We start from the raw sequence: 15212 nt of genomic DNA, 5'->3' as shown, positions 1-15212 counted from the left end.
TGCGATAGCTTTTCCTTCACCGTGAGGTTGAAAGTTTCTTGAAAGCAGGGACACTTTACCTTCCTTGTGTGTGTATGTATTAAAACATGGCCTAGCACTTTTCCTAGGGCATGTGTACAATCAAAAAATCAGTTGATTTATTAATACATTAATTTATTAATTGGTGGATTACTTTCACTTAAAGAGATATTTGTTGAGAAAATTATGAGATATTATGTCCAAGGCATTGTGCTAAATGCCTCAGCAAATACAAAGATGACTAAATTGTAGACTCTGACTTAAGAGTTGCTATAATCTAGTAGCTATATAATTCAAAGAAAAGTGTGATGTGTACCATAAGAAAGATGCAACAAGGAGTCCACAGTCTTCTCCATCAAATTTGGAAATATGGATTCTGGTTAAATTCCAGGCCCTGTGTTTTCTTAAGCTGGTATTGTATATGGCACTACATACAAAAAAGCAATAGCTATGTAGAGGTTAAATGCTGCTAAAGCTCTTTGAATGTGAGTGTGGCCAGCTAACCAGGGTAGACTAAGGATGATGGTGAGACTGAAGAAAGATAGAAATATTTATTTGCACATTTTTCCAGTTGTAGTCACTTATGCATTTATGTGTTTGAACTTTTTTTAAAAAAGTAACTTCTTTGTGACTGTCAAATAAATTCAATGTGGAAAATTTGGAAACTAGATAAAAGTTCAGCAGGCTGACTACTCAAAATGCACTTTTTCACTTTTCGTGTAGGTGTCCACTTTCTCTGTGCCCTGGCTGAAGTGGCTTTCACCTCCAGTTGCAGTGGGATTTATCTTGATTGGTCCAGGCTAGCCATGATAAATCTACTTCCAAGCAAGTGATTTGTTTAGGGCTGCCTATTTAATCTAGTTCTAGACAATGGAATATGAAAGAAAATCTGTTGAGGAATTCTGGATATTCTGTGTGAAGATGTAATACCTGCAAACGTGGTCTTGAGGATTGCTTGCCCACATGCCAAGGATGGCAGAGCAGAAAGAAAAACATGGGTCCTTGATGGTATAATTTAGCCACAAATTAATCAACCTTGGAGCCTCCCCCTACCTCAGGACTTTATGTTATGTTTACACATCCTTTAGCTAAGTTTTCTGTTACTTACAGCACTAAATACCCTGTCTGATCCCATCTCCTTATCTTTTTATAAATCTTGTTTATGTTTGCCAGCCCACAGCAGTCGTAAGCCATGCATGTCTAATGTTTCTACCATGCTTGTGGTATTGTGTCATAGTAATAAAAGGTAACATTTGTGTAGCACTTACCAGTTTACAGAATGCTATTATTTCATTTGGTTATTAAACCTTGTGAGGTGGATGTGTTACTTTATTACCAAATATCAAGGGTCCCAGAACAGATACTAATCTCATGCTTATCTTGGGGAATCTGAGGTGAAGAGGGTGCCATTTATTGAAAACCTAATAGATCTCCAAAAAGTCAAGAAAAAGTTAGAGTGGAACTATCAATTTGTCCCTCATACCAAGGCATGGGAAACAAGGGGCTGGGAGGAAAGACCACTTTCAGTTTCTCAGGAAGGTCTTGGTGGTTAAGGGACAAACAGACTCAGGACAATGAAGTGCCTGGGCTCTGTCCTAGAACACTGGTTGCATTTCTATGGGGTGGGATCCTCTGGACACAATATATGCATTACTTCATTGTTTTCCCTCCAGCCTGTAGGCCTTTGCCCCAAATTTGAGAGAAGGGGAGATAAGAAACTGAGTATGTTTGATTAAAAAATAAGTCAACATAGAAAGTACTGTAAAATATCAAACATATTGGGCCCCTTTTGGCGGATCTTGATAAAAGAGTTGCAACATTGGTTAAAAAAAGAAAAGACCCTTTTTACCTCAGGGAGAACAATGAGGGCAGCCAAAAAAGTGCTGGGCAATATTGGTGTATTGGTGTCTTACGCATTAGGTGACATCATTAATTAATTAGTTCAACAAATACTTACTGAAAAGTGGTGAGCAAAGCAAGCCTCTAGTATTAAAGGAGAAAGGTGCGTATGCTGTAGTAGTGAAGAGATAATAATGAAATAATAAAATAAATACAAAATTAAGAACTGTAATGATTGCTAATAAAAAGGAAGAATAGCATGTGTGAGAGAACAGTGGAGCTGAGGGGCTGCTTTATATTGGGTGGTCAGAGTAGGTCTCAGTGACTAGGTTGTATTCACGATGAGACCAGAAGACTAGAAACAGACAGCTATTGAAACGGAGGAGGTGGGATGGGGTGAGGGTAGGGTGGGGACAGAGCCAGTGCTGGGCATAAGGAACAGCATCTGCAAAGGTCCTGAGGCAGAAAATAGTTGGTGTGTTCAAGGAACTGACTTTTTATGCAAAGTTCTTTTTACCACATTGTCATAACTGCTTATTAAACTTTTTCCCTGTGTCCAGTGTTGTTCTAGGAAATGTGTGATATATATAAATGTGTGTGTGTGTGTGTGCGTGTGTATAGGCTGAGATTGTTATAGATTCCTTGAAAGGGCAGGTGGGTGAGACTTTAATTGGAATGTGAAAAAAAGGAGAAAACATTTCTGAGAATGAAAATAGTAGATAACCTTGAATGAATTATTCCTAATTGGGAGTTAATAAGCAACAATCTGAGATTCACAGGATATCACAATTTTATTTATCCCCTTTTAAACTTCACTCCTCCTGCCCAAACCCTCACTTAAATTAATTAGATCAGCCCGGTGATTCATAAAGAGCAAATAAAGTAAATAACCTGTCACTGAGAATCACTTTCAAAGCTCATGTTGACTAAATTTTTAGTGGCAAATGCTCCTGACCTCCATGTTTCCCTGTCTTATAATCTATCCTTATTTTCATTGTGTGTGTTATCTCACTGCAGGTCTTTTACAACATTTTACACCATTTGAGCCTAGCGCTAACCAATGGCATTTTCAAATGCTTTGCAGACACAGCTCATTCACTCTCACAGCTCCACAGAGGTAGGGAGGGGCAGGTAGCATTGTCTCTGTGGAATGAATGAGGAAGCAGAAGGGCAGAGAGGTTAAGTGACTTGTATAAGATCACACAAGGGGTCAGTAGCTGTGTGTGAATAGGACTCAACTTCCAAACCTTTAGTCCAAGGCTCTGTCTACTAAGCCATTTTTCCATTGCAGGAAGCTCTGAATGTTAGAAGAAAAAAACAGTATTTCAGTATTCTAAATGGATAAATAAAAAACTGAGGTGATTTGTGGGAAAGATTCATTTCACTTTGGGTAAATGTTGCAGAATAGTTTAACATTTTATTTATTTATTTAGAGCATCAGACATCTTCAAGTCCCCAAATTGCAGTACATTGAAGGTGATGAGAGTAGTTAGAAACTTTGGAAGGGTAAAGTTCAAGAAATGGTGTCTAGCGTCAGATTGCTGTCCACCTCCGCTCTCATACTCCTACTCCTCTGTCAAGGTAGTAGATGTCCTAGCACTTATTCCATTCAGACGCCCCCTGCAGTGCTCAGTCACTTGGAACCCACAGCACTTTCAACCTAACCCTGGTCGTTTTGCTGCTTCCAGATCAACATCGTTTACAATGTGCTAAAACGTTCTGAGGACCACAAACTGCAGAAAATGCCATGTCTGAGATTTGGGCCCTGTTTGAGCCTGTGCTGTTTGCTTTGCTATAGTATTTGGATGCAAAAGCCTCCTATTCAGGCCCCGACTGTCGCCTTCGCCACTGCTTCCTTCTATCCCAATACTCAAATCCAGCAGAATTTGTGCTTGTGCAACCTTTTCTAATATTTTAGTCTTGGAATCAAATTTTGCGCACAATTTTCCTTAAAATAATAACTTTCCCAGCAAGTTGTAAGAGTCTCAAAAGTAGTTTTGAATGAAAACGGTGTCATTTCAGCCTACGCTATTATCCTACAGTCATGCCCCTCTACGGTTGAATTTTTTTTTAATCTTGACCCTGCATTTTCTTTAAATCTTGACCCTACAGAGGAGCTCTAATGAAATGGTGGATTGGTTTCTGCCCCACCAGAGAGAGACAATTGAATATAAGTTGCATTAAATTCAGAAAAATGAAGACCCATCCTGTGTGGGGTTTTCTAGATAAATCTGCCTCTCGTATATACATTTTTAATGACAATGTGGTTTCAAACTCAGTATTATTCAATACCAAATCAAAGCTGACTCATGGAGAAAAATACTGTTTGATTCTATTTAGTCCACATTTCCCTCCCCACTTTTGGGGAGTCTGCCGGTGCAGTTGCGGGTGGGGGTGTGTATAATGCAGTCTGAATACATTCTTATAAGTATTAGAAGTATGGAAACACAGAGCCCTCCGTGACCTCCAGAGCCCTCTGCTGATCACTGGTGTTTGTTGTAGGAGGAAGGCAAACATAAGCATAGAAGTGTTATTGAACAGAAACCCCTTCAGAAATGTCTCTGGGCTTTTGTTCTCCAGTTGCATAGCAGTAGGGGGCCCCCTCCTCAGAAAGCATACTTATGCAAGTATTAAGAACTGGCTGAGATAAGAAGTAAAGCTTAAGAGACCTTCATCATTAGCTGCTAGTGGTAGAGATTAGTGATCCTACTACAGGATTACAGATGGAAAGAGTGCCAGTGTTGGTTAATTGTTCATTAATGCTTGTAAAATAAGCCAGCTGGAGGAAAACTGACCATTGTCTGCTCTCTCACAGTGAAACTAAATTGGATCTGCTCATCAATGGCAGTATTGATGTCAGAAAAAAATACACATGTAAACTGCTTCCCTATGACTCCCTCTCAATTTTAAATATTTAATTAAAAACCGTTATCCTAAAAAGCAATGATTAAGTTGTCAATGCATCTTTCTGTTTGTGGCTGACCTTTATTTCAACTAAAGGCACCTTCCTTCACATGCATTTGCTCTTTTAGATTTGCTCTGAAAAGGGAAATAAAACCAGCTTCCTAAAATGGCCTCTAGATACAAATAAGCCTGTATAATTTGTGGTTATTATTTTGAGATATAGCGGACATGCTACTTACAAATCCTAGAGAACTGTAGGCTTTTCTTTCTCTCTGCCTCCCTCCTTATTCCCTGTCCTTCCTTCCCCTGAAACATGTGTTGCAGGATTGAGGCTATTTTTCCCCTCCCACACCCAGGCACAAGCCAGGTTAAATGATTTGCCCAAAGTCAGGAAGACAGCCGAGCACATTTGCCTTCTTTTGCCTTATTCTAGACAACATTCATCGTAAGGTCAGAGACTATGAAGTTAACTGTTACTGAATCCAAAAATAAGAAAATTTTAAGCAGGTTTCCTCCAGTCCTTTTACTTGAAGTCAGGTGGGAATTAATTTATTCATTCAGGAAATATGTACGGAGTTCCTACCATGAACAAATAGACACAGTTTCTGCCCTCGTTGTGCTTTCAGTTTAGTGGGGAGACAGACAATATCGTACAAGTTAAAAATTGACAAGTGTATTGAAGGGAAAGCAATGGGTACAGGGAGGAGTTATCAGAGAGGGATGGGATTGAGGTTGGGGGATAAGACATGGGTAAGAGAGAACTTGAGGGATGAGTGAGAGGTAGTAAGGTACATTTGGGGGAAGGGCTTGAAGGCAGAGACTGGAGCTTGTGTGAAGACCCTGAAGTTGAAGGAATCTCTGTGTTGGAGACAGCACAAAGGAGAAGATACTCTCTGAGAATTTGGAAACAGGTTCAGGTCAGCCCTCTGCAGAGGGAACCTTCTTCATGAGATGATTTGCTAATTAACCTAGGGGTTAGTATCTGACAAAAACCATGATCTGGCCCCTGCCTCCCTCTCCTACATTATCTCCTGCCATTTCTTTCTTTGCTCATTCTACTAAAGCCATATTGGCCTTCCATTTCTCTAACATCCAATTCAGTGTTCTTGCCTTTGCCGGCTCCTCTGCTCTCGTATACATTTAATACCTGTGCACTCTTCCCTCTGTTCTTTCACTCATTCACTCAACAAATATTTACGGAGGATTTACTAGTTACCAGTTCTAGGCACCATGGGTTTATCAGGAAACAAGAGAGTCCAAACCCCTTCTTTCATTGTCGCTCCTGATGGCACCATTTCAGAGCATATTTCCTCCCTATTACATTGGCCTCTTTTATTAGTTTCATAGCAGGTGTCACACCCGGAAGTTGTCATATTTAATTATTACATGTTTGTTGTCTGCTTCCCCTCTAAAATAAAAACACTGTGCTGGTGAGGGTGATGCCCCTCATATTTGGCACTGTATCTCCAGGAATTAGGACAGCACCTGGCACTCTCAATACTGAATGACCAAATATACAGGAAAGACAAAAATAGCAAATCAGACTAGAAAATTAGACAACAGTGGTGGAAAGTATGGAAAGGGAAATAATATTTACTGATCACTGACAGTTCTTTAAGAACTGCTGGTCCTTAATTGAATGTCATGGTAGCATGACATGACCACTTTCTTTAGCCACACTGTTGTGCTAGATTTCAAAACTCTACTTTTACTTGTTTGGAGGGATGATGTGTTAAGAAGATTTACTGATGTTTGAATTTTTTGTGTTATCTGCTTTATAAAAATGTGCCCATATGATCAAGGATCAAAAGACTATCAAAATCTAAAATTTCCTCTGATTCTCTGGTTAAGTAGTTATGCAGAGTTTAAGGCCAATACCAAAGGAAATGATGCTGGTATCTAATTTTATTTTTTTATTTTACTTAATGCTAGAATAAAATCTCTAAAGTCCTTCTTTTGTACCTCTGAGCATCTCATAGATATTAATTGGTTTATCTTATCTCTGAAAATCATGCTCCATTCACAACTGACAGTGGACAGTTCAACGGAAAGTTATGGCTCAAATGATTCAAAACAGGGCCAACCCAAAACCAGGATTCTGGATTTTATTTTAATATCCTGAACTTTTAAAATATTAATAACACAAACAGCACTACAACCTAGAGGAAGAACACAGTAGGAACTGGTACTCACGTCTGTCTGAATACTTGCCTGGTTTCTAGTTTGCTGCCTTGCTTCTAACCAATAACACCCTGAATGCATCAGGCTTTTCAAGTCAGAAGTGAGGCAAGCAAAAACCAGTTCGTAGCAGAAATGATAGCCAAGGCCAGAATAGCACAAGACAACAAGAGTACTGTATAGCAAATTAAGCTTCTATGTAAGCTTCATATAAGCTTCTTGTTTCATAACCAACACCAACAATTGCCAGGCTGCCATAGAAAAACTCACCTCACCTGATAATTCCTAACACAGGTCTGGTGCAGTACCTCAATTTGTCACGTCTAGTCTATTCTGAAATGGTACAGCAGTAAACAGTCATTTATTTTTTCTTCATTTCTCAATTTTTAAAGCAATCATTATGAACGTCTGCCTCTAATCTCCTTGATTGTGTATTTTGAAGACAAATATAAATTCTATTATATTTTACGTAATGTTATCCAGAAAATTTGTTCCTTGTGGCATTGGGGTTGTAAGATAAAAAGGAGAGATTCTGCAATTTAGATCAAAAGAGGACTGATGGAGAGAAGAAAAAAAAAGAGAGAGACCACTAAGTGTGGGTACCAACTAACCACCAGGCCCACATGATCTAGTTTTTAGGAAGAAGGTTGGGGCTAATGGGCCCTGGAGAACTTGGGAAGGCACTGCAAATATAGGTTTGGAATAAAGTTTATTGGTCCTGACCCAGCTCTCATTGTCAGTGATGATAAGGTTGCATAAGAGCCCAACAGGTTGAAAGTGGCACTGTGTATTGTTAGAATCAGTTTTAGCAAGTTATAGGGATGATCTTAACTCCCTACACCTTGCATCTTAAAAACAGTTTTTTAAAAAGCTTTTCCTCACCTCTTTATAGCAGTGACGAGCAAAATTCGGCTTGTGACCATCTAAATATATCAAATTCCCTATTGCATTGTCTAAGTCTTATTTTTATATCTTAGTAACGTTGGTGAAAAGGACCAAAGAGTCTACTTACTATCTGCATTACTCTATTCTGCACATTAGGCCCTTAAACAGGAGAACAGAGGCCTTGTGGTGAAGGGAGTAGCTCTATAGGTAAACCTGTGGATGCATCTGGTCTTTGCTAATATGTGTCAACTAAACCATTTTCTCTTGAAAGTATCTTTTGAAAAAGATACTTTCAAGTACAAAGTACTTTCAGGATGCACAAACAAATGATTAAAAAAAGAGACACTCAGTCTGAAAGATAGGATTTCCACATCTTAAGCAGATATGCTCATGAGTCCACTAAAGTTCAATAGTCAGGTTTAATATTTTTTTCTGGGTATTTACAATGGTTTAACAGTGACTTTTCATCCTACTCTGTTTGGGGAATTAGTATGAAGAGGAAAAATATATTCCTTTTTCCCAAAGCCATCCTACTTTTACCATATGGGGAAATTTCATGGTACAATTGAAGTCTATGAAGCCCTGACATAGTAGCGATTGGTCATTCTTTCAGTCATCTTCGCATGGTCATGAAGGGTGTCTCTAATGCACAAATCAGGTCATAGCATTTTTTTTTTTCCCTTAAAAAAAACCTATCCTTCACAAGCAGAACAATTCCAAACTACTCACCCTGATATAACTAGCATTTTACATGAGCTGGAACCATAACGAGAAAATAGCTTTATTTTTTTCTACCATCAATATTATCCTTGATGATATTTTGGGACGATTCCATTGCTTTCTGTCACTTTTAGGTATTAGAAAAGAGATTTTTTTCAGTATTAATAATTCCAGTCCAGCATAACAAAATTTCTGTTTCCTGTTTAATTCAAAGCTAAGGTCTGGGAGGAAGGTGGAGGTGGGGTCATAGCCTTTCTTTTTTTTTTTTTTTTTTTTTTTTTTTTTTTTTTTTTTTTTTTTTTTCAGATTTTTCCCTTCCCCTTTAGATCCTTCAAGTTGTGGTCAGAAAAGAAGGGAGAGAGAAAAAGTGCAGTATTTGTAGCTCTCTATGGAATAATCCTAATGTTAACTCGATCTCTAGATGTGCTCTTTGGGACATGCTGTGTGGCCCTCTGCTTTGCTCTGTTCCATGACTCAGGAAATGCTCATCCACCTCAGTTCCTGTCTTTCCATGATAGATTTTCTGTCACTTTTACCTGGGACTCCTCTCCCTAGCAGGGACCTCTTTTGGGGAATGGTCCATTAGAGATGACTGGAGGTAGGTTACCTTCTTTAGCATCCATGTGGCCCATGACAAAATACACCCATTCTTTCCCTACCAGATGGGCTTATTTGAGGGAGGTTAGCCACTGAGTCCTCCCTTCTTGTCCTGCCTACATTGCTAGGCACCAGCATCTGTCTTCGTCATTTGATCCCTTTACTCCTGAACACATGCATGAGACTTGCCCAGGAACTTTTTGAGTCCTGCTCTGGTAGTAGCACTGGGAAGGCCTACCAATTTCTGTCTCTAAAGCAAGCATCAGGCTTGAGTTTGAGAATAAAATCTTTTCTCTAGCAAGTAATTCCAGGCCTTGCAAGTGTTCTCTTGGGGTCTCCTTCACCTGGCTTGAGATTGGTGTGGATGGGGAGAGATTATGCCACAGCATTCCCTACTTATGTTAATTTCTTCCCTTTGAAGAAGCTTCTTCTCAATAAATATCTAGCTGTTATATATAGACTGATGATGGCGACAAAGTTTGGCTGGCTCTGAATAAGTTTTACGTCAACACATCTAGCACCACACTTTAAAATGTGGCATGTTTATTACCTGTTATTCTTAGCTTTAGGCTGTTAGCTGAAACTCACAGACATCAGGAAAAATTCCATTCTGCTTTTAATCCACTGGCATTTAAAGTCCTTAATAATCAAATCAGAATATTGCTTTTTACTGTATCTGAGCACACTTCTGCCTCTTTTCATATTCTCCCCTAGTGTGATTTAGCCATAACTTCCCTTTTACCTCTCCTCCTCTTCTTCCAAATGCAAATGTTCCATTCTTTTCTGTCTTAATGCCTCTGCACCATCTTTGCTTGTTGAAATTTGACTCTTCCCAAAGGTCTTGTTACCTTCTCCATGAAGTCTTCTGAGATCTGCCTGATCTAATTAAATCTCACCTGTCCTAATACTTGCTTTTTGTTTAGCACTTTTTCTTTCTATTATCACATTCAATGGTTCCCTTTATTAACAATATAGTGGTATTGTTGTAGTCTTCTTTATATTAGATTTATTTGTGTGTCTATCTACTGAACTATCCTTCACAAGCATAGTGAAGTGAGAAGCTACTGCACTAGATTGTAAATTTCACTCCATTCGTTCATTCACTCATTTATTCATTCAAAAGTATTTATTCATCTTCTCAGAATCAGACATTGTAGTAAGTGATGGGGACAAAAAGTCGGGTAAGGCACAATCACTGATCTCAAAAAAAGTTATTCCAGGAGGGCAGATAGAACATAGATGTGAAATTTTAAATGTCAGTTTAATGAAATACACACTGAGATTTGGTTAAAAGTTTAAGTAAGCAAAAATCTCTCCCCTGAAGGGGCTCACAGTTTAACTCAAGAAAGAAGTCAAAGAAGACACCCCAAATACTGTGAGTGCCCAAACTATGGAAGTGGGAAAGGGAGATTCTCCTCTCCCGAACACACACTTCCACTGGGGAAACTGAAGGTCTGTGTGCCAGAGAAGATTCCGACCTTACCTGGAGCTGAGTCAATTTAGAGAGCTGAACGAAATACAGGGGCAGAGAAAGCAGTGGGAAAGGCCCTGGGAGCTCGCTCTGTCCCCAGGCAGGCCATTCCTGCCTAGCACCACAGGGATCCATCAGGAGGGTGGTCAGAGCTGCGGGTATCGGGGAGAGGGGAAACACCACAGGGAGAAGGAAGTCTCCAGCTGAACTTTATAACAGTTGGAACCGGTGAGAAGCCTCCTGGCCAGAACTCGGGGGAGGGCGCAAATCCAGTGTGCAGACTCCACAGGTGGGGGAAGAACCAAGCCCTTTTCTTTTGCAGCTGGGAGGCAGGTGGCCTGGGGCAAGTTCTCAAGCCCCGCTCACTCACTGCTTGGAAACAGACTTGGGGCTGTTAGGGGGGCACGGTGGGAGTGAGACCGGCCCTTTGGATTGTGTGAGAGCTGGGTGAGGCCTGGGACCACCAGCTTTCCCCCACTTCCCTGACAACCTGCATGACTCAGCAGAGGCAGCCATAATCCTCCTAGGTACACAACATCATTGACCTGGGAACCTCACCTCCATCCCCCCAGCAGCTGCAGCAAGACCCTCCCAAGGAGAGTAGGAGCTCAGACATGCCTAGACCTGCTGCCACCTGATGGACCTTCCCTACCCACCCTGGTAGCTGAAGACAAAAGGCATATGCTCTTGGGAATTCTAGGGCTCTGCCCATTGCCAGTTCCTCTCCATATTACCACAGCTGATGCTCTCTGGAAAATGCCACCTCCCAGCAAGAGGCCAACCAGCACAAAAATAGAACATTAAACCACCAAAGCTAAGAACCCTCACAGAGTCCATTTCACTCCCTGCCACCCCCACTGGAATAGGTGCTGGTATCCACAGCTGAGAGACCCATAGACAGTTCACATCACAGGACTCTGTGCAGACAAGCCCCAGTACCAGCCCGGAGCCTGGTAGACTTGCTGGGTGGCTAGACCCAGAAGAAAGACAATAATCACTGCAGCTCAGCTCACAGGAAGCCACATCCATAGGAAAAGGGGGAGATTACATCAAGGGAATGCCCTAAGGGACAAAGGAATCTGAACAACAGCCTTCAGCCCTAGACCTTCCCTCTAACAGAGCCTACCAAATAAGAAGGAACCAGAAAACCAACTCTAGTAATATGACAAAACAGTGCTCTTTACCACCGCCCCAAAATCACATTAGCTCACCAGCAATGGATCCAAACCAAGAGGAAATCCCTGATTTACCTGAAAAAGAATTCAGGAGGTTAGCTGTTAAGCTAATCAGGAAGGCACCAGAGAAAGGCGAAGCCCAATGCAAGGAAATCCAAAAAAAAAAAAAAGAAAAAAAATACAAGAAGTGAAGGGAGAAATATTCAAGGAAATAGATAGCATAAAGAAAAAACAATCAAAACTTCAGGAAACATTGGACACACTTATAGAAATGTAAAATACTGTGGTAAGACTCAGCAATAGAATTGAACAAGTAGAAGAAAGAAATTCAGAGCTCGAAGACAAGGCCTTAGAATTAACCCAGTCCAACAAAGACAAAGAAAAAAGAATAAGAAAATATGAACAAAGCCTCCAAGAAGTCTGGGATTATGTTAAATGACCAAACCTAAGAATAATCAGTATTCCTAAGGAAGAAGAGAAGTCTAAAAGTTTGGAAAGCATGTTTGAGGTAATAATTGAGGAAAAATTCCCTGTCCTTGCTAGAGACCTAGACATCCAAATACAAGAAGCACAAAGAACACTCCGGGAAATTCATTGCAAAAGATCATCACCTTGGCATATTGTCATCAGGTTATCTAAAGTTAAGACGAAGGAAAGAATCTTAAGAGCTGTGAGACAAAAGAACCGTGTAACCTATAAAGGAAAACTTATCAGATTAACAGCAGATTTCTCAGCAGAAACCTTACAAGCTGGAAGGGATTGGGGCCCTATCCTCTGCCTCCTCAAACAAAACAATTATCAGCCAAGAATTTTGTATCCAGTGAAACCAAACATCATATATGAAGGAAAGATACAGTCTTTTCCAGACAAACAAATGCTGAGAGAATTTGCCACCACCAAACCACCACTACAAGAACTGCTAAAAGGAGCTCTAAATCTTGAAACAAATCCTGGAAACAATCAAAGCAGAATCTCTTTAAAGCATAAATCACACAGGACCTGTAAAACAAAAATACAAGTTAAAAAGCAAAAACTAAAACTAAAAAAGCAAGCTACATGGGCAACAAATAGCACAATGTAGCAAACAGTACCTCACATCTCAATACTAACATTGAATGTAAATGGCCTAAGTGCTCCACATAAAACATTCAGAACTGCAGAATGGATAAGAACTCACCAATCAACTGTCTACTGTCTTCAGGAGACTCACCTAACACGTAAGGACTCACATAAACTTAAAGTAAGGGGTGGAAAAAGGCATTTCATGCAAATGGACACCAAAAGTCAGCAGGGATAGCTATTCTTATATCAGACAAAACAAACTTTAAAGCTACAGCAGTTAAAAGAGACAAAGAGGGACACTATATAATGGTAAAAGGCCTTGTCCAACAGGAAAATATCACAATCCTAAACATATATGCACCTAACACTGGAGCTCCCAAATTTGTAAAACAATTACTAATGGACCTAAGAAATGAGATAGACAGCAACAAAATAATAGTGGGGGAGGGACTTCAATACTCCACTGACAGCACTAGACAGGTCATCAAGACAGAAAGTCAACAAAGAAACAATGGTTTAAACTATCCCTTGGAACAAATGGACTTCACAGATATATACAGTACATTCCATCCAACAACTGCAGGGTACCCATTCTATTCAACAGCGCATGGAACTTTCTCCAAGATAGACCATGTGATAGGACATAAAACAAGCCTCAATAAATTTAAGAAAATTGAAATATCAAGCACTCTCTCAGACCACAGTGGAATAAAACTGAAAATTAACTTCAAAGGAACTCGCAAAACCACGCAAATACATGGCAATTAAATAACCTGCTCCTGAATGAGCATGGGGTCAAAAACAAAATCAAGATGGAAATTAAAAAATTCTTCGAACTGAATGACAATAATGATACAAGCTATCAAAACCTCTGAGACACAGGAAACACGGTGCTAAGAGGAAAGTTCATAGCCCTAAATCCCTACATCAAAAAGACTGAACGAGCACAAACTGACATTCTAAGGTCACACCTCAAGGAACCAGAGAAACAGGAACAAACCGAACCCAAACCCAGCAGAAGAAAGGACATAACCAAGATCAGAGCAGAACTAAATGAAATTGAAACAAAAAAAAATACAAAAGATAAATGAAACAAAAAGCTGGTTCTTTGAAGAGATAAATAAAATTGATAGATCATTAGCAAGATTAACCAAGAAAAGCAGAGAGAAAATTACAGTTGACACCACTGAAATACAAAAGATCATTCAAGGCTACTGTGAGCACCTTTATGCACATAAACTAGGAAACCTAGAAAAGGTGGATAAATTCCTAGAAAAATACAACCCTCCTAGCTTAAATCAGGAAGAATTAGACATCCTGAACAGACCAATAACAAGCAGTGAGATTGAAATGGTAATTGAAAAAGTTACCAAGAAACAAAAGCTCAGGACCAGACGGATTCACAGCAGAATTCTACCAGACATTCAAAGAAGAATTGGTACCAATCCTTTTGACACTATTCCACAAGGCAGAGAATGAGGGAATCTCCCTAATTCATTCGATGAAGCCAGCATCACCCTAATACCAAAACCAGGAAAGGACATAACCAAACAAGAAAACTACAGACTGATATCCCTGATGAACACAGATGCTAAAATCTTTAACAAAATACTAGCTAACCAAATCCAACAACATACCAAAAAGATAATCCAGCTGGATCAAGTTGGTTTCATACCAAGGATGCAGGGATGGTTTAAAATACACAAGTCAATAAATGTGATACACCACATAAACAGAAATAAAAACAAAAATCACTTGATCATCTCAATAGATGCAGAAAAAGCATTTAACAAAATGCAGCATCCTTTTATGATTAAAACTCTCAGCAAAATTGGCATACAAGGGACGTACCTTAATGTAATAAAAGCCGTCTATGACAAACCCACAGCCAACATTATACTCAATGGGGAAAAGTTGAAAGCATTCCCTCTGAGAACTGGATCAAGACAAGGATGCCCACTCTCACCACTCCTCTTCAACATAGTACTGGAAGTCCTAGCCAGAGCAATCAGAGATGAGAAAGAAATAAAAGGCATCCAAATTGGTAAAGAGGAAGTCAAACTGTCACTGTTTGCTGGCGATTTGATTGTTTACCTGGAAAACCCTAAAGACTCCTCCAGAAAGCTCCTAGAACTGATGAAAGAATTCAGCAAAGTTTCCAGATACAAGATTAATGTACACAAATCAGTAGCTCTTTTATACACCAACAGCAACCAAGCGAAGAATCAAATCAAGAACTCAATCCCTTTTACAATAGCTGCAAGAAAATATAAAATAAAATAAAATACTTAGGAATACACCTAACCAAGGAGGCAAAAGACCTCTACAAGGAAAACTACAAAACACTGCTGAAAGAAATCATA

The 15212-nt window shown here is 39.7% G+C and overlaps 1 annotated feature.

Moving 5' to 3' along the window:
* Positions 3233-3734: an enhancer, noted in NCBI's record as "NANOG hESC enhancer chr1:90967710-90968211 (GRCh37/hg19 assembly coordinates)". NCBI's record gives its function as "activates a minimal SCP1, AML or CMV promoter by ChIP-STARR-seq in naive H9 embryonic stem cells {active_cell/tissue: H9 hESC(naive)}" and the evidence as "EXISTENCE:reporter gene assay evidence [ECO:0000049][PMID:30033119]".

Source organism: Homo sapiens, chromosome 1, assembly GCF_000001405.40.
Source record: "Homo sapiens chromosome 1, GRCh38.p14 Primary Assembly".
NCBI lineage: Eukaryota > Metazoa > Chordata > Mammalia > Primates > Hominidae > Homo > Homo sapiens.
This window is presented reverse-complemented; position numbering and strand designations above follow the sequence as displayed.